At 36.9% G+C, this 23,588-nt stretch overlaps 2 long non-coding RNA genes across 9 annotated transcripts in view; both read left to right on the forward strand.

The window, feature by feature from the left end:
* MITA1 (metabolism induced tumor activator 1) overlaps positions 1-23,588 on the forward strand; it is a 133,238-nt gene that overhangs the window by 31,290 nt on the left and 78,360 nt on the right. The window contains exon 2 of one of the 8 annotated variants that reach the window (XR_001745967.2): positions 15,330-17,389. The exons of 6 other annotated variants lie outside the window; for them this stretch is intronic. This is a non-coding gene — a long non-coding RNA (metabolism induced tumor activator 1). Of the gene's footprint in view, positions 1-15,329; positions 18,302-23,588 lie in introns of those variants that run through there. One more of the 8 variants, XR_007060970.1, reaches the window with a different exon arrangement.
* On the forward strand, positions 1,768-4,761 carry LINC02605 (long intergenic non-protein coding RNA 2605). Its single transcript, NR_157588.1, has one exon. It is a non-coding gene; the product is annotated as a long intergenic non-protein coding RNA 2605 (long non-coding RNA).

A 23,588-nucleotide genomic window follows, 5' to 3' on the forward strand; every position in this document is an offset into this window, starting at 1 on the left:
AAATGGAAAAACATTCCATGCTCATGGATAGGAAGAATCAATATCGTGAAAATGGCCATACTGCCCAAAGTAATTTATAGTTTAAATGCTATCCTGATCAAGCTACCATTGACTTTCTTCACAGAATTGGAAAAAACTACTTTAAAGTTCATATGGAATGAAAAAAGAGCCCATATAGCCAAGACAATCCTAAGCAAAAAGAACAAAGCTGGAGCCATCATACTACCTGACTTCAAACTATACTACAAGGCTATACTAACCAAAACAGCATGGTACCGGTACCAAAACAGATATATAGACCAATGGAACAGAACAGAGGCTTCAGAAATAATGCCACACAGCTACAACCATCTGATCTTTGACAAAGCTGACAAAAACAAGCAATGGGGAAAGGATTCCCTATTTAATAAATGGTATTGGGAAAACTGGCTAGCCATAAGCAGAAAACTGAAACTGGATGCCTTCCTTATACTTTATACAAAAATTAACTCAAGATGGATTAAAGACTTAAAGTAAGACCTAAAACCATAAAATCCCTTGAAGAAAATTTAGGCAATGCCATTCAGAACACAGGCATGGGCAAAGACTTCATGACTAAAACATCAAAAGCAATGGCAACAAAAGCCAAAGTTGACAAATGTGATCTAATTAAAGTAAAGAGCTTCTGAATAGCAAAAGAAACTATCATCAGCATGAACAGGCAACCTAGAGAATGGGAGAAAATTTTTGCAATCTATACACCTGACAAAGGGCTAATATCCAGAATCTACAAGGAACTTAAACAAACTTACAAGAAAAAAGCAAAAACCCTTTCAAAAAGTGGGTGAAGGGTATGAACAGACACTTCTCAAAAGAAGACATTTATATGGCCAACAAACATAAAAAAAAGGTCATCATCACTGGTCATTAGAGAAATGCAAGTCAAAATCACAAAGAGATACCATCTCACACCAGTTAGAATGGCAATCATTAAAAAATCAGGAAGCAACAGATGCTGGAGAGGACATGCAGAAATAGGAACACTTTTACATTGTTGATGGGAGCGTAAATTAGTTCAACCATTGTGGAAGACAGTGTGACGATTCCTCAAGGATCTAGAACCAGAGATATCATTTGACCAAGCAATACCATTACTGGGTATATACCCAAAGGAGTATAAATAATTCTACTTTAAAGACGGATGCATATGTATGTTTATTACAGCACTATTCACAATAGCAATGACTTGGAACCAACCCAAATGCTCATCAATGATAGGCTGGATGAAGAAAATGTGGCCCATATACACCACTGAATACTATGCAGCCATAAAAAAGGATAAGTTCATGTCCTTTGAAAGGACATGGATGAAGCTGGAAACCATCATTCTCAGCAAGCTAAGACAGGAACAGAAAACCAGATACCGCATGTTCTCACTCATAAGTGGGAGTTGAACAGTGAGAAGACATGGACACAGAGAGGGGAACATCACACACCAGGGCCTAGTGGAGGGATAGCATTAGGAGAAATATCTAATGTATATGATGGGTTGATGGGTGCAGCAAACCACCATGGCACCATAGGTATTGTTGTATACCTATGTAACAAACCTGCACGTTCTGCACATGCATCCCAGAACTTAGAGTATATATATATATATATAAAAATCCTATTGACCTTAAAAAAAATCAGATGAAATTAGCTCTTTAAATGTTTTGTCCTAGCTCCCATCCATTGTCATGTTTTCTGTGGCCACGTTTAGGCTTGTTCTCAGATCTGTATTTCCAATCTAAATCCCATTTCTATTCTATTATTATTACTACTACAAAAATAGTAATAAAAACAAACATTTAAATAATATCTAATAAATACCAACTATTCTTCTAAGAACTTGACATGTATAAACTCATTTAAGCTTCAACTCTGTGAAATAGGGTATCAGTTATGTATTGCCAAAATAACGCTATATAGCAAACTACCCCAAAACATAAAACTGTAAAAACATAATTACAACAATAGACCTTTTTATCCTTTCTCACAAGCCACTGTTTTTGCTGATCTGGGCCAAGTTCAAAAGACATTGACTTGGCCCACTCACCTGTGGACAGTCAGCTGCCTTGTTGGATGGGTGCTGGGAGTATAAGATGGCCTCAGTTAGGACTGCTTGGCTGTTCTCTAGAAGTTCTCTCATTTTCACAATGCTAGCCTGGACTTATTTCCATTGCCATAGGAGGGTTCTAACAGAGAGAAAGAGAGCGGAAGCAGGCAATGCTTCTTAAAGCCTAGGTTTGGAATGCACACTGTTACTTCCCACGTATGGTATTGGACAGAGCAAGTGAAAACACCTAGTGCCAAGAGTATGCATCCAGGAAGGGGTAAAGAACAGGACTAGTTTTGCCATTTATTAAGGTATTATTATTAATCCTTATTTTAGAAGAAACTGATATATAGAGGAGTTAAGCAACTTGCTCAAGGTCGTGGACTAATGAAACAATGGCACTAGTATTTAAATACTGTCAGTCTGGTTTCATTCTGTGCTGTTAACTTCTACATGGTGCTGTCAACTTCTACATGGTGCTGTCTCTCAGCTGAAGGAACGATAGAGGAGGAAAGGCAAAAGGCAACAATGGGCTTTGAAGTAACTCTACTGAGATAATTAAAAGACCACATAAAAGAAGGAAAACGTATCTTACTTCAGGAATTCAACACTAAGAATCCTACTCCCTTCGTGAAATCAGAAAAGGTTTGCATGAACCCTGTGGGCCTTTGAAAGAGAGAAGGCATACTGTTGATGGTCACCAACTTACTGAAGCCTGCAGCTTGCAGGAACCCATCTCATCAGAGTAACTGAAAGAGAACACAGTATCCAAAAACAAAAACAACAAAAGTCACGTGCTGGGATAAGTTCTTGATAGTGTGAATAGTCAGAAAAAAATGTTCTGAAACTTCTTGTCCCAGCTGCGTTATTAACTGTGAATTTCATCATATGGTTGATTAAGTTGCTTTATAAGACTAAATTTTTATAAGATGTGTACATAGGAATATGACTTCCCTCTCCTAAGTTAACATAACAGGTATTCCCAAATGTGTTGTGAAGTCGACATTCTTGTTCTAATTTATAGTTGTATTGCTCCCTGCAATAGCATCTTCTTTCATTTCCCAGTCTCCAGTTTTTCCATTTTGTTTACAGTAGCCAGAGAAATCTATCAAGATGCACACTTGATCACAGCATCCTTCGGTAAATCACCATTATCTTCATACTGACAAAGGTCAGTCTTTAAGGACCTTTATCAGGTGTCCTCTCTTTAGTTCCCCAACCTATTTCTTACCATCCTTTATCCCCCAGCTAAATAACTTGGAGAATTCCAAGTGCGTCATCCACTGTATTAGTCTGTTCTCACATCGCTAACAAAGACATACCTGAGACTGGGGAATTTATAAAGGAAAGAGGTTTAATGGACTCACAGTTCCGCAGGGCTAGGGAGGCTTCACAATCATGGCAGAAGACAAAGCAAGAGCAAAGGGAAGTCTTACATGGCAGCAGGCAAGAGAGCTTGTGCAGGGGGAACTCCTGTTTATAAAACCATCAGATCTTGGGAGATGTGTTCAATACGATGAGAACAGTGTGGGGGAAACCACCCCCATGATGCCATTATCTCCACTTGTCTCTGTCCTTGACACATGGGAATTATTATAATTCTAGGTGAGATTTGGGTGGGGACACAGAGCCAAACAATATCATCCACCTTCATGTCTCTTTCTCTTTACTCACCTGCTTTCTTGACAAGAAATATCTTCATCAGCCCTTCCTTCCTTCCCTCCCTCCCTCCTTTCTTTCTTTCTTGCTTGCTTGCTTTTCCTTCCTTTTTCTTCTTTATTTCCTTTGCCAATTTGAGAGATTGGCAAGGAGAGTAATGCTGGAATTGGAGACACATATAACTAATACCAGCCAAAATAATTGTGAGCAGAAGTGATATGCCTTCTGAGCCAAGGCAGAGAAAAGATTATATGTGATTCTCAGACCTCTTCTCATCCTCATTGGCTAAGAAGGGCATAGGTCCCAGATGGAACAGCTATACGTTAATGGGGCCTTCCTCCATTTGGATCCCTAAGTAACTGAAATGGAGCCCCTCTCCAACCTGTGATAAAATTGTGCTACAAAGGAGAACTCAATTTTCTTGTGCTAAAATACTGAGATTTGGAAATTAATGTGTGCTGCATTATAACCTAGGTTATTATAAAGATATTATTGAAAATTACTTTTAATATTCATTTTTGTCATTATTGGTGAATTTGAAGTTTCATATAATTATTGAACACTTATATGTCATTTATATATTTATTATACTTAGTTCTTTGGCAAAATGCTGTTTATGTCCTTTGCCTATTTTTCTACTAGACTGTTTATGTTGATTTATAAAACATATTTATATATTAGGCTACAGTAACCCTTTCATGTCATTGGTACTGTTTCCAATTTATTAACTGCCTTTTATTATCACTTTATGATGTATTTTATGTCCAAAGGTTTAAAAATTATATACTGAGTAATCGATAATTATTTAAAAATTTTGTTCTTATTTTATGAGAAAGGCCTTCTAAAATCTGATAGGTTGGTTTTTCTCTGGATATACTATTTTCTATTTTTTAAAACATGAAATTCTATACTCCATTATGATTTATGTTGTTGCATGCTATCTGGTCGGAATATAGCTTTGTAATGAATACATTCGTCTTAAAACTGACTTGGCTTTTTCTCCTAAATTAAAAAGACAACTCTGATGATCTGCTTTTGAGTTATTTCTTAAGCTACCTTCTCATGATGTTAAATATCCATTCAGAGGATTCAGGACACCTTGGCCACTTGGCTCCCCCCGGAGGTCTGTCCACTCCAGAGTTGCAGAGCTCACCAAAGGTGTACAGGCAGGAAGCAGGGACCTTTGTGGAAGTCAAAAGGGGAAATGCCTGACTCGGCAATGCAAGCAGGTTGTGAGTAGAACAGGAAACAGTTCTCTTCCTCAGTACCTCTTTAGTCAGCAATTTATTTATTCACTGAGTCATTCAGACTTTTCTGTGGTAGTAAAATAAACTGAAAATCGAGAAGAATTTTGCCAGGCGAATGAGAAACACCCTTGATTTTTTTTGCAGTTGTATAAGTGAAACAATAAGTAATTTACAGTCATTGAGACTTCCACTATGCTTAGAGAAAAACACACATAGATATTAAAAACTTACCTCACTATATTTTTCCTTACATGGTGTGTTCTAAAATTTATATTAGGATATAATACTTGGTTCTCTCACCAAGTACATGTAGATGTTCCTCCTTTAACACAAACGTCTAATGAGAATCACAAGATCTATAAAAGCCTATAAAACTGAGATTCTACAAATCTCACTCAGAAATGTGTAATTAGAAGTATGTCTGAGTTATAGTGGTGAGGTATGGGTTTGTGTGTGCATGCTTTCACCAGAAAGGGGGAGAGAGAGAGAGAGAGAGAGAGAGAGGAGAGAGGAGGTAGAGTGAAAAGAAAAGAGAGTTATAAATAGAGATGATAGAGAGAGACTGAGAGACAGAAAGAGAGAGGACATAGAGGAGGAATCAGAGAGAGACTGAGAGAAAAACCTAGAGACAGACAGAGATAGGCAGCAAGACAAAGAGTCAGAGACACACACACACACACACACACACACAGACACACACACACACACACACAAAGAAACAGAGAGGGCAGAGAGAGAGAGAGAGAAAGAGGGGAGAGAGAGAGAGAGACGTTGAGAGAGAGAGTGACACAGGTATACACACAGGGGCCCAACCAGATGCAGCCTGGTCAGAGGTAGGTTTACTTACCAAGTCAATAGTCTTCTGCTTTAAAAGCAGGTCTTCCTCATTCATTAAATGGACCATCCCACCATCTTACCTTAGCCTGACTCACCTTACAAATAATTTTTGATGGCACTGGGCTGTGATAGTTCTGGAAAGAAGGAAGATGGATGTTCTTAGTACCGCCAATACAGAGAGCTGATAATAGCAACCACATTACCAGTTTGGTTTTTTTTTGCATTTGTAGAAAACAAATGCAAAAACAGGTCCTATGATGCTAGCTCAAAGCACTAATCTTTATTTTGATTTCCCAGGAAGTTGCAAGTGAAACTCTACATGGAATTGGTCTGTTGGTTTAATATTAGAGAGAAGTAAAAATGATGGGCTTTAACTCTATCCGTTATTGTTTTGTGAATTTCCTTGTGTTTTAATATCTAGAGGAAGGTGACAAAAAACACACACGCAAAAACGATATTTTGTGCATTAAATACAAGTTTTCCAAATATTGACAGAGTTATATTTCTAAACTTAGTGCACAAACCATTTTTAAACATCTTGTTCTATTTTTCCAATTTTATCTTTTTGAAGATTATTAATTATCTACTATGTTTCAGGTATAGCCCTAAGCAGTGGGGATAAATCAGTGAACAAATCAGCAAATATTTGTGCCTTTATGGGGCTTCTATTCTGGTATGGGGAGATAGACAATGAAACTTAATAAATGATTAAGTTGCATGGTATTTAAGAAGGTTACAAGTACTATGAAGAAAAATAAAGCAACATAAGGTGGCTAGGGAATAACCAGAGGGTTAAAGGTTGCAGTGAGGATTCTGGAGTTAACTGAAAGTAGAGTCATAAGAATTTGTTAACAGATTGGGTGTAGGATGTAGAACAGCAAGTGCAAAGGCCCTGAGATAAAAAAAAATTTCCTCATTTATTTCAATAACACCAGGAAATCCATTGTGGCTGAAGAAGAAAGATCAAGGGGAAGAGAATTAGCAGAGGAGATCAGAAGGGTAATGGTGGGGCCAGAAAAGTAGGACTTTGTCGGCAATTGTAAGAATTTGAGGGGGTAGGTATTTATGGCACTGGTTTAAGCAGAAGAGTGACACGATATTACACTTTAAACTGATCACTCTGGTTGCGTTGCTGAGAACAAGCTGGAGTGTGTAAATGGTGAAAGCAGGAAAACCAGTCTGGAAAATGGTGTGATAATCCAGGTAATAGAAGTTAGTGCTTATTCCAGGGTAGTAACAGTGAGGATATTAGGAAGAGGCCAGATCCTATGATTATTTGAAGGTAGGGTAACCAGAATTTGTTATTAGATTGGATGTAGGGTGTGAAGAACAAGGGGGAGTCAAGGATTAGTCCAAGGTTTTATATGTCAGCACCTGAGTGATGATAATTTTATTAACGGAGATGAGAAAGGGGAGCGGCATTTGGGAGAGAAGAAAATGTTTGTTTGGATATGTTCATCCAACGTGTAGGTGTCATTTTAGACCTTCAGGTATATGGATGTGGCATTCAGAGGAGAATTGTGAGCTACAGATAGAAATTTGAAGGTTGTCTGTGACTGGGTGATGTTGAAAACTATGAGTCAGGATAAAATGACCAATGCAGTGAAAGTAATTAGAGGAGAAGCTAAAGGACCGAGCTGTGGCGCACTTGGGCATTAAAAGGTCTAGGAGAAGAGGAAGGGCTTACACCGGAAACTGAATAGAAATAACCAGTAGGAGAGGAAGAAAATAAGGAGCTTGTCTTGAAAGCCAAGTAATGAGCCATTTTAAATGTTTCTAGGTAATCAAATAAGGTGAAAGCTAAGAACCTGCCAGTGGTTTAGCAATATGGAGGTCACTGAAGACTTTGATCTAGCCATGGTTCAGCAGAGTGACAGGAGTAGGAGAAAGGGAGGATATGAAGGTACAAGGAGCAGAGAAATGAATGTGTTTCATTTAAAAAATTAGTTTCAGCTGGGCAAGGTGGCTCACGCCTGTGATCCTAGCACTTTGGGAGGCCAAGGAGGGCGGATCACCAGAGGTCAGGAGTTCGAGATGAGCCTGGCCAACATGGTGAAACCCCATCTCTACTAAAAATACAAAATTAGCTGGGCCTGGTGGCGTGCACCTGTAATCCCAGCTACTCGGGAGCCCGAGGCAAGAGAATCACTTGAACCTGGGAGATGGAGGTTGCAGTGAGCCAAGTTCGTGTCATTGCACTACAGCCTGGGCAAAAACAGTGAAACTCCACCTCAAAAAAAAAAAAGAAAGAAAGAAAGAAAGAAAGAAAGAAAAAAGTGTTTCATATGGTAGAAGTAACAGTACACTTGTATGCTGATGGAAATGATAACATATAGAGATGGGGAAATTGATGTTGCAGGAGAAAGAAGAGAGATTTGGGGAGCTGGTTCCTTGAATAGGTTAACCGTAACCTAAGGCAACATAGTGAATAATTGAGGAGTTGCCCTTGGGTAAGAATGCAGGCAGTTTATCTATAACAAAGGAAAACAGAGTGAAGGTAGTTACTAGGTGCAAATATAATGATGAGAGCTTGTTAGAGTGTCTTCTGTTGCTTCAGTTTATTTATATATATTTTTTTGAACAAAGTAGAAAGCAGAGCCATTGGGTGAGAGTGACAATAGAAGAGGTGTTGAGCATGAGGAGGGAGAAAGACATTTATGAAAATAGTCATCCAGAGAATGGATTAGATAATCAGCACATGCAAGTAATGTAGAGGTGGGGCTGCATGACGGGTGTCCTTCTGACCATTGTTGCTCAGGGTAGTTCAGTACTTCCAGGCTGGTCAAAAATTAGTAGAGTTCTGCTCTTAGTCTCTCTCCTCTTCTGCCTCTGCTTCCCAAGGAGTTCAGCCAGAACCTCTGTCTCTTTCCCTGCCTAAACTGAGCTGCTTGCACTCCTGTGATTTATATACCATCCTTGTCTCCAGTTGTTCACACTTTGTAACTTACTGTTATTAGTTATTATATTAAAAATTAATGCTGTCCATGGAGGTTATGATTGGCTAAGCTTGGATATATAACTAGATTTAAAAGAAGGAACTGTTATCTCTGAATCAAGTTTGTGGATTGGAATTATGGAAACATGATTATAAGTTAATGTAACCATTTTAAAATAAGCAATAGATAGCATCTGGCCATAAAGACCTTTTATTCTGGATATTTAATGAATGGGCAAGAAGGATATATACTTTTGTGAATGTGTAGGAAATGTCTTCTTTACATATTTCTGTTCTTTGGTGAACAGGAAAGAAAGTGAGGGCTAGAGGAGCCCCCAGAAAGTGGAGCATTTTCCCATTTTTACTTATATCAACTTAGCAGAAAATAAATGCCTTATGGCTGTAGCGGAATAGTCAGTACCAGATGAGCGAAGCTAAATGCAAGAATTTGCAGTGCCAAGCTCCACCGAATCCCTAAACAGCCACTGACCGATCTTGATTCCAAGTTCAACGTATTAGTGTGAGTTGAATGAGTGTTTCATTAATACTCTAAAATCTAAGTCAAATTGAACAAAGATCATGAATAGCTAAGAATTACTCTTGTAAGTATAATGAGGAGTAGAACGGGTAAGAGAAGTCAGGAAAAAATAAAGAAACTGTGGACTCAAAGTCAGAAGTCCTGAGTTTTAAACATGGTTTTGCCATTGACTAGAAACCTTAAACAAATCCTGTAACCAGTAAAGCCCTGAACTTCTTATTTGAAAATGCAGGCTTGAGTTAGATGTCTTCTAAAGACTCTTTTAGCACTAAAAAGTAATTCTATGAAGTTAATCTTTATTAAATTGTCTTATCTATTAAAATATAATGATAAAATATCTTGATGTTTATCTTAATGTATTTAGTTTTTTAGTTTTTAAAGAAAATAGGTCTTTAGTTTTTGATAATTAATATGTTTTGTTTTTGTTAATAAAATTAACACTTTAAAAAAATACAGAAATCTAAACAATAAGAAAGTGAAGGAAGAAAGCACATCCAGTCCTATGTCTCCCTAGTAATGTTTGATGTTTGTAAGGCTACCATATAACAGTTGCTATTGTGAATGAAATATCTTTGTTTTATTTTAACTAGTTGTTTCCTTATTATAGAAAAGCTACCTTTAAAAATACTAATTTCTCAACTGATTGTCTTTGCTGAACTCTCTAAGTTACTTTTAGTCAATATTCTTGTTTTCTTTATGTAGCAAACTATTTTGTCTACAAATAAAATTTAACAAATTTTGAGTCTTTATCATATAATGCCTCCTTTTGATTGTTTATACTTAATATTCTTAGAAAACATTTTTCAGTGATTCCTTTGGCTAGCTTTCCTAGAAGAATATTATTAGTAATGGTGAGAGAGAAAATTTCTGGCTGTTAGTTTAAGCTTTTTTTTTCTTTAAAAAATATGCTAAAGGTCTTTATTAAGAAGTTTTAAAAAAAGTTGAATAGGCATTTGATGACTTTTTAGAACATATGGTGACTACAGATTCTTTTCCTCAGTCTATTTGTGGGAGAAATTATATTAACAAATCTTTTAGCATTAAACCATTTTTATGTTCTGCAATGAACATCAGTTGGTCATTAATAGAATTTCAGTACAGCAATGGATTACAAATATTAACATCTTATTACTAATTTTTGCTGTTAAATTTATGTTGAAATGGGTCTGGGGTTTTATTATTTGTAGGTTGTTTTGGTTGAGTTTTGCTTCGGGGTTACATGAATTTTGTATAAAATCATGTGAAGCCTTCCTTCTTCCTCTGAGCTCATAGAAGTAAACTCTTCCCTGAAATCTGAAAGAATTCTTCTACAACATTTTGTTGTTCTATAATAGCTCTGTCAGTTTTCTTTTATTATTGATTTATTTTGGTCCACTTATATTTTTCCACAAAAAAATGTCTTTCAAACAGATTTTTAAACTTATATGAACAGGGTTGAATACTTTACACAGAGTTAATAACTTTCCTGGGAACTTGAAAAATGGAGAATTATCTGTATATGATAGCTTATATTATTGTACAGCTTTATAATTACCTTGACACTACAGTTTCTCCTTAAAATTTTATCCTCTTTCCTGAAATAAATCTATTTGCAAAGAATACGCCTAATCTATGTTTCACATGCTGTGCTTTCTGCCATATTTTTAAAACATTTTTTTTTTTTGCTTGTACTCATCTTTGAATAAAGACTGTACAAGACAGCTTTTGTTCCTAAAATAACATGGATAGATCATTCATGGTTTCTCCTGTTTACCTGGCTGCCATTTTAATTCATCCTTCAAATTTAAATATAAATTCAGTCATGCTGCACCTGGGCAGGTAGGAAAAGAGCTATGGCCATGCAAAGCTTTATTTCTGCATTTTTTCTCTATATATTTGCTAGGAAAGAATGCACCAAATTTCAGTTCTAGTGTGTTGTGTGAGATCTAGTGTGTGTGGGTTGGTGGAGGGAGCTAGGAGGAGAAGAGGGGAGTGGGTTGTGTGTGGCCTGCGTTGAAGGTACTAAGGAGTATGCCTTTGATTTTGGATTATTCAGGTATGTTAACTAGATAGATTATAAGTCAGGTTGGTTAAAAGCCCTGGGGCCTGTGGGCTTTCAGCGTGCTGAAGCTACATTTTTTCTCCCATTTCTTGAGTAATAACTTTTACATCTGTGAAAATTGCTCAATCTTGCTTCAAAAGTCTCTAGATTCTGAGGATCCCTTTCCCACTGCCATGTTGGAGAAAATAGTTACTTTTAAGAAAAGTGGAATCAATGAAGAAACAAACAATAACAATATACGGAGGAGTGGTTGTTCATTTTTCTGAGTTTGATTAGCTTGGGGCAGCGACAGTCTATGGCAGAGACCCATTTCCCCCAAAGCTGTCTGTGCTTCCAGCCAGTTCTCCAATTACTTACTGTTAGTGAGAAGTGTCAGAATTTGCTCTAATTACTTCCCTGAAAACTGCACATTTTCAGGAAGGGAAGTTGCATATCAATCTTCGATGTTTTTCTTCACGCTGATTCAAATTTACTGTATCTAGCAGAGATTCCTGCCAGAAAGTTGTGATACACGGTAAGTGTCCCTTATCTGAAATGCTTGGGACCTCAGTGTTACAGAGTTCAGGTTTTCTTCTGGATTTTGAAATATTTGAATATACATAATGAGATATATTGGGGATGGGACCTGAGTCTAAACACAAAATTCATTGATGTTTCATATACACCCCATGACCCTCGTCTGAAGGTAATTTTATACATTATTCTTAATAATTTTGTACATGAAACAAATTCGTGTACATTAAGTCATCAGCAAGCAAAGGTGTCACTATCTCAGCCACTCATGTGGACAATCTGTGGTTGTTTGGTATAACTGTCATGATGTGCTCAGAAAAGATACATTGCAGCAGAAGCAGGTGGGGGGGGGGTCTTTTTTCTCTTGGGGATGCTTGGTAAACTGTGTGCTGTGTGTCTGTGCTTTGACTGTGACCCATCACATGAGGTCAGGTGTGAAATTTTCCACTCGTGGTGTCATGTCACTGCTCAAAATTTTCAGATTTTGGAGCATTATGGATTTTGAATTTTTGGATTAGGGATGCTCAATCTGTGTATCATTGGCAGTATTTATTGGTTTAAGAATTGATGAACATTTTGTTTCTCATTTGTATTTATTTTTAGTTATCTCTCTCAGTTTCTCAGAGGAATCCTTTATAAGAAATTCTCACAAGAAGTAACCTATTTTTTTCTTTTATATAAAAACAAGTGAGTAAAACATCTATAGGGCGCTTGATTATTTGAACCCTGAGACAGTTAACATTTCAAGTAGCAGTTCTCAAAATATGTTCTACAGAAGTCGGTTCCAAATCGTGTTAACAGCATTTATAGGAGCAAAAGTTTCCATGGTCAAAAAAATGTTAATAACAGAAGTGAAACAATATTAAACATGATTCTTTACTGAAGGACGTTTTTTTCAGATAGGGAGCTTGGTTGTTAATTTTTGTTGTTGTTGTTTTTTAACCTTTATTTTAGGTTTGGAGTTACATATGAAGATTTGTTACATAGGTAAACAGGTGTCACGTGGGTTTGTTTGACATATTATTTCATCATCCAGGTATTCAGCCCAGGACCCAGTAGTTGTCTTTTCTGCTCCTCTCCCTCCTCCCACCCTCCACCCTCAAATAGACCCCAGTGTCTGTTGCTTCTTACTGAAAGACTTTTCAGCACCATGAATATGCAAAAGAACACTGTGAACTTACAAGACAGACATAATATGCAGTATTTCCTAGAACTTATTTAATTTAGTGCCCTTATTTTTTCTATAAATTATCAGAAAGGAAAAATAAATTAGTATAACAAACACCAAAAACTACTGGTATAACAGCATCATTTCGCAATTATAGGTGAAGCAGTTAAGAAGAAATAAAAAGTCTTCTAAATGTTAGCCTTGCAAATTTAATTATAAAAGTAATCCCTCCCTCCCTTTTCCTGTATCTGTGCAGCAAATATTTGGCCCATGCTTAATTCATGATCCCATAAATGTGTGAAAGGAAATTGTAATACGAGGGAAATGATATGTTCACCTGCTACTTTATAAGGATATTGTGAGAATTGAATGAAAAATGCACGTAAAGTGCTATAAAAATCCCATCACTTTACAATGAAACCTATAGACCAACACTTTTAAAACATGCTCTTTTAACATAGGATGTGTGGTGAGTCATTGTGAGAATATGTTGCAAATTACTAATATTTCTAAGTTTGTGATATTATATGGTTTTTAAAAATACAAAATGTAACGTGTTCTAGGTTATGTTTATTATGATGTCATTGTCACTGATTTCTGACATATTCTCTCAAGTGGGAGGAAAGGGAAAAAGTTTTAAGTACTCTGTTGGAAATTGACCTGGGAATGGAATGTCTCTGGTGTTGCTATTTAGCATATGCTGTGATTTGAACGTGTCCCCCAAAGTTCACTTGTTAGAAACAATCCCGATGCAATGGTGTTGAGAGGTGGGACCTTTAAGGTAAAACTAGGCCATGAGGGATCTGCCTTCCTGTGTGGCTTAACACCATTATTGCAGGTGAGTATTCCTGATCAAAGGATGTGGTTGGCCTCCTTTCCTCTCTCTCACCTGAGTGCTCTTTTGCTCTCCTGCCGTAGGATGATGCAGCAAGAGGGCTCTCACCAGGTGCCAGCCTCTTGATCTTGGATTTCTCAACCTCCAGAACTTTAAGAAAATATATTTCTGTTTATTACAAATTATTCAGTCTTAGATATTCTGTTATAGAAGCACAGAATGAACTAAGACAGCATATGAGCTGTAGCCCATAAAGGTTCTGAATTAAAGCAGCAGAACCCTCCACCTTGAAGCAGCAAACATTCACAATTTTGATAAATCAAGAGCAACCCCCTAATTGCCCAATGTGGTGACTGGTAATATTGCTGACACATGGCTTTGAGTCACATGTGTTGTGAGGCTGCAAAGTAGGATGTGTCACTTGGCTTTTGGCAGATAATATGATTTAGGAGAAAGTCTGAAGTTTATACCAGTTGTCCTGATGAAGGCACTCATTTGGCTACTATATTTTTCTGTGAATAGAATATGAACATTTGTAGAAGACAATTTTTGTTTGCATAAGTTCATGTTAACAGAAACCATTAGGCCACATGTTCCACAGAAGGGTTTTTTTTTTTTTAGGGGCTAAAGAATTTTTTATATTGGAAAAGTTATAAGGTAGCTGAAACGTAGGCCTGTGAGGATGAAATCAGACAATACTGAAAAATAGATGTGAACACACATATGCACACATCTACTGCGGAGATGCCAATCTCAGTATTTAAAGGCATAAAGGCACACTGACTTTTCTACTTAGCTGTGTTTTAGCAAACTTTGTGATTAAGGGCAGACTTGCTCTACACTTTGACTAACCTAAGTGCATCTAGCCAGAAAAAGAAGGGCATTGTGCCTACGTATTAGCAGCCCATTACATTAAACTGTGACATGGCACAACCCCTTTGGACAGATTTCATTAGGGCATACTCTCTTGCAGACATCAGAAATACAAAGCCAAGTAGAACTTTGTATGCTAATTCTCCATTGTATGCTAATTCTCCATTGTCCCTTATTTATTTTGATTGGCAGATATTCTTTTATATACACTAAAAATATCAAAATGTTGACAGAATCTTGTTGTTTCACACTTTCTCTTTGGAAAACATGTTGCAACAAAGCACCTTTTACCTACGTCTACCAAGTGCTATTGCATTGACAGTTTGACTAGCTATTTGGGAGTGAGCCCTGCCAATGGCTGCTTCAGGATTTAGCACATTTTGTTTGAAAAACATTTGGTCATGATAGTCAGAATCTCAGGAAGACCCACAGATTCTATTTAGCACACAGTGTATCTGATAGGACTACTGCATTAATGGAAATGAAAAGCTAATTGCTGTTAATATGTAATGTACATGGGATTTACAGTTTGTAGAATGTTTTTCTCATACTAACTCTCAATGTTGTTGTGGTAGAAATAACTTGGAGTTATATGCTTGGATGCAGGTATCCCAACTGAATCTTTGGCATTAGGCTGGCTGAGGTCTTGTTGGAATCTGGGGATTCAGCCAGAGTCGGGTTGAGAACACTGACCTTACTGTCAAAACTACCCCATTGGAGGGTATGACCGGAAGGAGTTGTGACTGGAGTAACTGGAATACTGAATCCCTCTCATTCCTAACTCTGGAGGTGTGCACACCAAGTGATACCACCCTACAAGTGAGGGCACAAAAAGTGTGATTCACAGCATGGTTGGAAAGGTGGCCAGGCTGTCAGTCTTTCCTAGAGAGCTAAACCTTGATAGCAGGACCCTCATCCTATGGTACTGACTCAAAAAGAAAAGGACTGACCTACATATGGTCTCTGGACTCAGGCACACGACCCAGAGTTCAGAAAAGCCTTCAAATCCTAGCGGGAAACAAAGTGTTAGGCAAAGGGACAGGGCAGACTATGGAGTGGAAGTCAGCATTTCAGGAGAAAATCAGGTCCTGTGCTTACAGGATCAATCACCAGGGCTTGGCCATGGCAAAGCACTTCCTGGCATCATTGTGTAAGTACTCAGTCCTATGTAGTAATGGTAGAGGGCTATAGACAATGACAAGACCTGATCCAGTTAAAGGGCAGAGGCTGCACATTAGGATTCCCCCAGGAGATTTTAGGGTTAAGAAGTGTATCACTGAAATACTTCATTCTGCTTGCTACTCTGCAGAAGAATTGATAGAAGAATTAGGTAAAACAAAAAGTTGTTGAGACACATTTGTTGTAATAATGGAAATGTTATTATGTAGTATCTTCATTGTTCTTGATGCCCTGTTTGTTTGTTGTTTGTTATACTTTGGAATATATGTTATACTTTGTACTGTTTGTGAGTCCTAGGATGTTTTCTCAATTTCCATTTTACTTTCTAGAATTTAATTTTAAAATTTTGCACTATTTAAAAACATACAATTTGTTTCTAAGGAATTTGCCTTCTCTGCTTGTTTTTGCCAGGTTGTTTCCAAACACATTAACTACTATTGTGACAATAAACACGAGTCAGAGTTGAATAAAAAGAATTCTTTTTATCATCATCATCATCATCAATCACTGTCATCACTATACCATGATGTCTATCATATTAAAAATAAGAAGGCTTTCGTAGTCTACAGGAAGTAATTTCAATGTAGATCATAGCTTTATATTTTATTTAAAAGTTCTTGGTATTACTAATATGAAAATTATATTTTATTCAACCACCAGAGGGAGCTCTCAAATATATGGATTCTAAAAGGGAAGGAGTAAAGTAATTAAGTAGGCAGCTTTGTATGTTTTATAGTTGAAAATCAAAGATTTCATCAGCTGTGTGTCATGGTTTTTGTGGGATCACATGTTGTGTCTTCGTACATCAAGTGCTTAAAATCTTGTCCTACTATAGATGCCACATCATTTTAATTAACAGCTATGAAATAATAATCTTGTTTTTATGTTTTTTTTTAAGTTTGAGTAATTGTTTTATTTTAACTTTATATTTTAATTTTGGACAATATTGATTGATGCCATGCTTTGCAAATATAATTATGCTTTCAGACCTCCTCTCTTAGGTCCCAGTTTTTCTTAAGTTGTGTTTTTATATTGTCCAATTTATAAAACTTATATTCTTTTTTATAACCGTAAATTCAATGCTGAGACATCTCCTTTTCATATTTCTTTGTTTTGATGTATTGCTTAACTTGCTAAATTTTATTGTCAAATAGTTTATTTGAGAAGGGTCTTTGGGTTCTAGAATCCTTGATATCTTTCATGTTTGAGAATGACTACTTGTTGCTTTACACATGTATGACAATAGAGTGGGTATAATATTGTGAGGTCATATTTTCTTTCTCTCATCTATGATTTAATATTCCCCCTAGGAAAATCAAGTCTTCCAATTTTTTTTCACTAATATTATGTGGGTGTGGAAGGGGAAGGAAGGAAATTATCCAACTGTTTCCTGCAGGCAGAGCAAGTCCTTACAGAGCAGGCTGCCCTCAGTGATGATGAGTTTTGGATCTCCCAGAACATCCCACCTCTTAAATGTGTAGCGTCTTGTAAGTATCCTTCCCAATCAAGTTTATTCATAGCTTACTGAGTTCTGTCTCTCCTTCTCTGTTAAATGGCTTTATTGAGATATAATTCATAAATAAAAAAACTGCACGTTTGATATGTGCAGTTTGATGTGTTTGGATCTATGTATACATTGGCAATACTATCACCACAATCAAGATAATAAACATATCCATCATCTCCAAAAGTTTCCCTGTGTCTCCTCAACTCCATACTTTTTTGTGTTAAAAGCACTTAGCAGGACGATCTGGGGAGGAGCAGTCCCTGGGATCACTGTGTTTATCTGTTGTCTCTGTACCCCACTTTAAAGTGTCCGAAAGTTTTCTCACACAGTAATGTAATCAACCCCATTTTGTGGCTGTGGAAATTGTCAGGCACAAAGGTTAAGCAAATTAGCCAAGGCCATGAAGCAGATGAGTGAGACACCTGGGAGTGGATCCAGGACTCACAACTGCTCAGTTGATATATTGCCTTCCATTGCTTCACAAGGCTGCGAGCTGTCCTGCTTCTTCCCAACACACTTGACTGAAGTCAGGTATTTAAGTTTCTATATCTAAGCTGAAGTCAACAGTATTTCCATAAGTAGGATCTTGTCACAACAGAAAAAATGAATTATAAGCAATGAATAGAGGTGAAATATATTCATTCAGAGTCAGTGTGAATACATTCCATCTTTCTTCACTTCCTTTAACCTCTCATTTTCTCCAGGCTGCTTACAAATGTATTCAATGTGTTAACAAAAAAATTTAATAAAGACATTGCCAGAATATCAGCATTGGGAACAAAGAAAAATACTTTCTATTTGGTGTTAGCATAACTGTGCATTTTAACTAGGTGTATATCTCTCTGTGTATAATTAACATGCTATTTGTAAATAAAGTCAAATATTAAATATATGAAGTCACCATTTTGATTTATGTTTTTCTACAAAGCACAACCACTCTCTAACAAATATGTATCTGACAGATTGATCAATTATGGTCTCTACCAGGTCAAATGAGCTCACTTCCCTTCAAACCTTACAAGCCTAAGCAATAATGTGGTCTCCCAGACACAAAGAGGAAACAGCAAGCTTCTCTACTCCATCGTGATTGTTTCCTGGGCAAGCGTGTTTCCCAGCTGCAATCATAGATGCCCCAAAATGATGCCAGTGTCAGACCCTGCCGTGCTGTAGCTCCCTTCAGGGGACATCTCAACTGCTATTTTCCCTTCCCCTAGTCCTCCACTGAACCTGCCACACCTTCTAAGAAAACGAGGGTTGGCTCTGTGCTGAACTGCAGGGGCCCCACACACACTGTAACCTGCAGGAACATAGAACATAGGCATTTGACTGCTGGCTCCTCAGCTTACCACAAGGGGCAGACACTGACTGAATAGAGGTCCAAGAAATAAATTCCTAAGGAAAAGCAGGGAGATACAAAAATGCAAAATATAAATGAATAAAATAAATTTTAAAACATGTATTCTGGTGCCGCCTTTAATAGTACATTTCGTGAGATGGAATTTATTTCACTTATTTACAAATAAACGACTCTTCATTATTGCTGAAGATGTATGAATGTAAGATTTAAAGCTAGAGTGATTTAAAATTTTTCTGCAGAAAACAACTTCTGGATAGTGTTCTCTTTTTTACATTTTGCATTTCAAATTCAATAATTCTATGAATATGTTTCATTCAAATGTCCCAGCTTTGTTATAATCCCCCAAATGAATAATGCATTTCTTAGAAAGTATCTTTTCCAAAGGAGAAAGCACTATGAACATTCATTTTAACTTCCTTTACCAGTCAGTGATTTTTATCCTTCACTATACATTTTAAAAGACCTGACAAAGGTTCATAAAACATTGTTATTCTTTATCAGTGGAGCTACATGCAAAATTCAAAATTCTCAAATCTGTGGGAAAGATTATGAAGAAATATTACTACTGCTTATCAATCTGCACAGACTTGCCTATGTTATCCTAACATTGTTTTTAGCATGGTGAAGACAAGGATAAACCATGAAGCCTACCTGCTGGGATCTGAAATTTTGCTTCACCACTTCCTATCTTGAGCATGTTACTCAATTTTTCTATACCTCAGTTTTCTCATGTCTAAAATGGAGATAATAATATTGCCTCTGTTGTTATGAAGACCAAATGAGTTACTAATATAAATTATGCCCACTAATTAAAAAAATAGAACAGTGCCTGATGGTTTTATTTTTAAATAAAATAAAACACGTATTTTTTACAGCATCACTATGCTCCAGGTCAATATTTCCATATTAGTGATCAGGTCTCTTTTCCTTACCTATCCAGAATTCTTGTGTTAGAGTTCCATTTGACAGTGAGAGGCATTAGGAAGCTATCTGGGTCGATTTTCTCATCTACAAAATGGTGATGATGATCTATCTTGTCTTGGAGGTCTAATGTGAAATGGAGTGAGGTTGCATAAATGAAGTGCTTAGCAAAGGATCTTACTGGTAGAAGGCACTCAATAAATGCTCACTGATAAATAGAAGTAACTATGTGCAAAGTCATCATAGAAGCTCAAGTTTCAAGAAGGTAAAATGACTAACATGGAAACAAAACAATTGTTTATTGAAAGGGTCAGATTGTTTTATCCTTTTATTATCAGATTGAAATTAGATATTTTCAATTCATACTTTCTAAAGGGACTATTCAGAGAGAATTTCTGAAAAATTTCATCCCTCCAGGGTTTTATAGACATTTCTTGACTTAAATACAATAAAAATAACAATAAATTTCTACTTACTGGGAAAGCCTTGTAGAAATACTGTTAAGGTTTACTTAGCAGTAAACAAAAGAGATTGAGCTACTTTTGTGTTTCTTGCTTATTTGTGTTACTCAGTGGTGAAGAATAGCCACTTATCATTTCCTTTGTGAGAATGATTAAGGAAAATGAAAAACATTTGTCTAAGCACAGTCAATTGCTAATAGCAGGTAAAGTCATGTGGTATGGAGTAGGCACCATCTCAATTTTAACAAACTAGTTTTTAGTATCAGATGACTGGCAATGAGCCTGAAAATCCTCCCCTCGTACATTATAGCATATTCAGTTAATGCCTTTGCAAATACTTATTGCTGCTGCATAAAAACTTTAGATACCCATAGGCAAATCCAGATAATTGAAAATTGCCTTAGTTCTGGTAAAAAATAAGTGTGATATCAGAACCGAGGGCTTGGTGGATGGCGGAACAGGTTGGACTTAGGAATGTAAGTTCTTGGGAACACATTAAGTCCACTGAGTTACGGCAAAGTATCTGGGAAATCCCCTGAAGCGGGCACTTGGTAGGAAATGAGCAGGCTCTGATGAAAGCTGCAGCCAATGAGCAAGAAATGCATGGAGAACAGGAAGCTGAGAAGTACTGGCCAGGAAGGGCTAATCTCAGGGCAGTCCCTCTAGCACCAGATAGAAACCATTCTGTCATATAATTTTGAGTTTATGGAAAGCACCTTAATACCCAGGAAGGCTGGTAAGGACAAGACAGAACAAAGACCTGCTGGGAAAGATATAGCCTTACTGGGGCATGATTCAGTTACTAAAATTGAGTTACGAGACAATAGTGTAAAATTGAAGGTTAAGACATAACACAAGAACAGTATTTAAAATTTATCTACTTAAGGAAAAGATAGGTTTTAAAATCTAGGTTAAGGCTGGACCTGCAGGTGACAGCCTTACTGTGAAGCATAATTAAAGCTACCGTCACCAATATCTTACCACAAATAAATGTGTGAGTTTCATAGAATGGTTTCCTTTAATGTCCTTCAGAAAGGCAGATGGTATAGAAAACCAAAGTGTAGTTCAGTAAAAGTCAAAATAGACCCATTCAGAAGGTATTCCATGGATCTCTGAGATCTGCTTTTATGCTAAGGAGTTTTTGCTTTGTGCTGGTAGTGCAAGACTACAGCCTGGGCCACACATCTCCTTTTATGAAGAGCAAAAGTTAGATTCATAAGTATACATGAATATGGAAGACTGGGGATTGGGAATAAAATAGTTTTCACTACCTAAACCAGGTAGTGAATGATGGAGGCAAAGTAGACTTGTAGTCTTCAGGGGGCAGACAACTTGGATTGCTTTTCTCTTTGTTGAATGTATTATTCTGGGTGCCACCAGTAGAATTGGAAGGCTGCTGAAATTCTTTCTAGTATAGACAGTTCAAATTAAGCACAGAGTTGACAGCATAAAGGATGACATAGGTGGGCCCTGGTGGCACCACGCCTTCTCTCAGGTGTGGGCAGCTATGCGTATAGTAAAAGCCTCATCCTGTGAAGGCTTGTTTGTTTTGCAAGAGAAGACAACACAGAAGAAATGGAAGAGAGGCAAAGGCTGGTACCTGAATTATTATGCAGGGTTCTGATACCCTCACTGTTTCCTTCAAAACAACTGGATCTCTGATCTGATCATTTTAAAACCACATTAAAATACAAAATTATTTAAATGCTGACATCAAAATTGTCCTTTCATTACTAATTGCATGGTGGAAAAAAATAGAATAGTGTTTTTCAAGAGAAAACGTTACCACTGAAAATCCCTATACCCAGCCAAATTATTGGTCTTGTGCTTTGGCAACAGAAAGTTCTTTTATCACATGACGATTCTCAGAAAATACACTGGCCACATTCACTTTTGAAAAAAATATTTCACCAAACAAGAGATTAAAATAGATATCACAAAAATGAGGAAGTTATAGTATACAGCTGGTAAGCATTGAAACTATTTGAACGTTGTTGTATTTAATCAACAGCTATAAAAATTCATGTAAATATAAAAACAATTATAAACAAAAAGATACATTGTATACATTAATATTAAATTGAACCTAATAATCCAGAATATTGTTTATTAAAACTAACAAGTGGGTTTGGCTTGGTGGCTTGGGTAGAGGAAGTAAAGCATGCTTCATTTCTCATCTATGATAGGAGGAAGTCAATAGTTAATACTTCTGTACTGATGTAGACAATTTTAAATGTATATATTACAGTATACATTTTAAATATTAAATTTTTAAGTAATCAGTAGAAACATAAAACAGGGTAGCTTCTAAACTGCTATAGAAATTAAGCAAACAAAATATCCATATAGGGAAAAACAAAGGAAACAGAAAGAAACCACAAAATAAACCGTGCATGAAATACAGTGATGTTAATATGATTAAATATTTCAGATACAACCATAAATTTAAAAAGATTAAACTCACTATTAAATCACAAAGATTAAAATGTGGCAACTCCAGTGTATCTAAATATGCACTCACTATACACAAGAGTTACTCCAAAACAAAAATAACAAAAAAGTAAACAATAAAAGGATGGACAAAGGTATATTCAGCAAACAAGAACTAAATAAAGGAGTGAGACTATTAATATTCATTAAAACGTAATTCCAAAACAAAACCAGCAAAGGGAAGAAAGATAAAAGTTACTATCTACACTGAAGATATAATAGACTCAAACTCCAACGAGCAAATAACATGGTTTTGACATATACAGAACAGAAACTGCTAGAGAAGAAGGAAAAAAAGTAAAACAATGCAATCATTTCAGGACATGTTATCACCACTTTCAATTTTTGACAGGTGATTGGACATAAAATAAGTAAGCATACATAATATAATAGATTTAATTATTAGAATGACAATTGACATTTCTTTCTTTAAAAATGTTTCATCCTTTTCATTTTTCTTAAAATGTTTATCAAATTGATGATACTCTAATGAAACGGAAAAAGTTCCCTTGTCCCCTTCTCAGGGTGTGCGACAGAGGGACTGGCTCGCTTCTTCAGTGCCCCACTGCTCAGACCTCTAGGGGAGTGTACAGACGGGCGGGGAGTGTACAGACGGGCAGGCTGTGGGGCTCCGACCTCACGGCAGTGTGTGAGGGTGAATGTTTATAACTCCTCAAGCCCCAGTGGGCGTGTGTTACAGGGTGCTCTTTTAGTTTTGCCGTCTATAGGCTTGTGTTAACCAGCTCAGTTAGACCTTCTACCTCGTCGCAAGGACAGAGGGCTTTCTATATGCTGGGTTCTTGCCTTGGTGTGCTGGAAGAATCGCATCACACCTGGGCTTGGAGAATAAGTGTAAGGTTTTAGTGAGTGGAAGTAGCTCTCAGCAGATGGGGGAGCCAGAGGGAGATGGTTTTCCCCTGGAGGCCTCTCTGCGGGCTGGGCTCTCCTTT

The sequence above is a fragment of the Homo sapiens genome, chromosome 8 (genome assembly GCF_000001405.40).
Source record: "Homo sapiens chromosome 8, GRCh38.p14 Primary Assembly".
Classification (NCBI taxonomy): domain Eukaryota; kingdom Metazoa; phylum Chordata; class Mammalia; order Primates; family Hominidae; genus Homo; species Homo sapiens.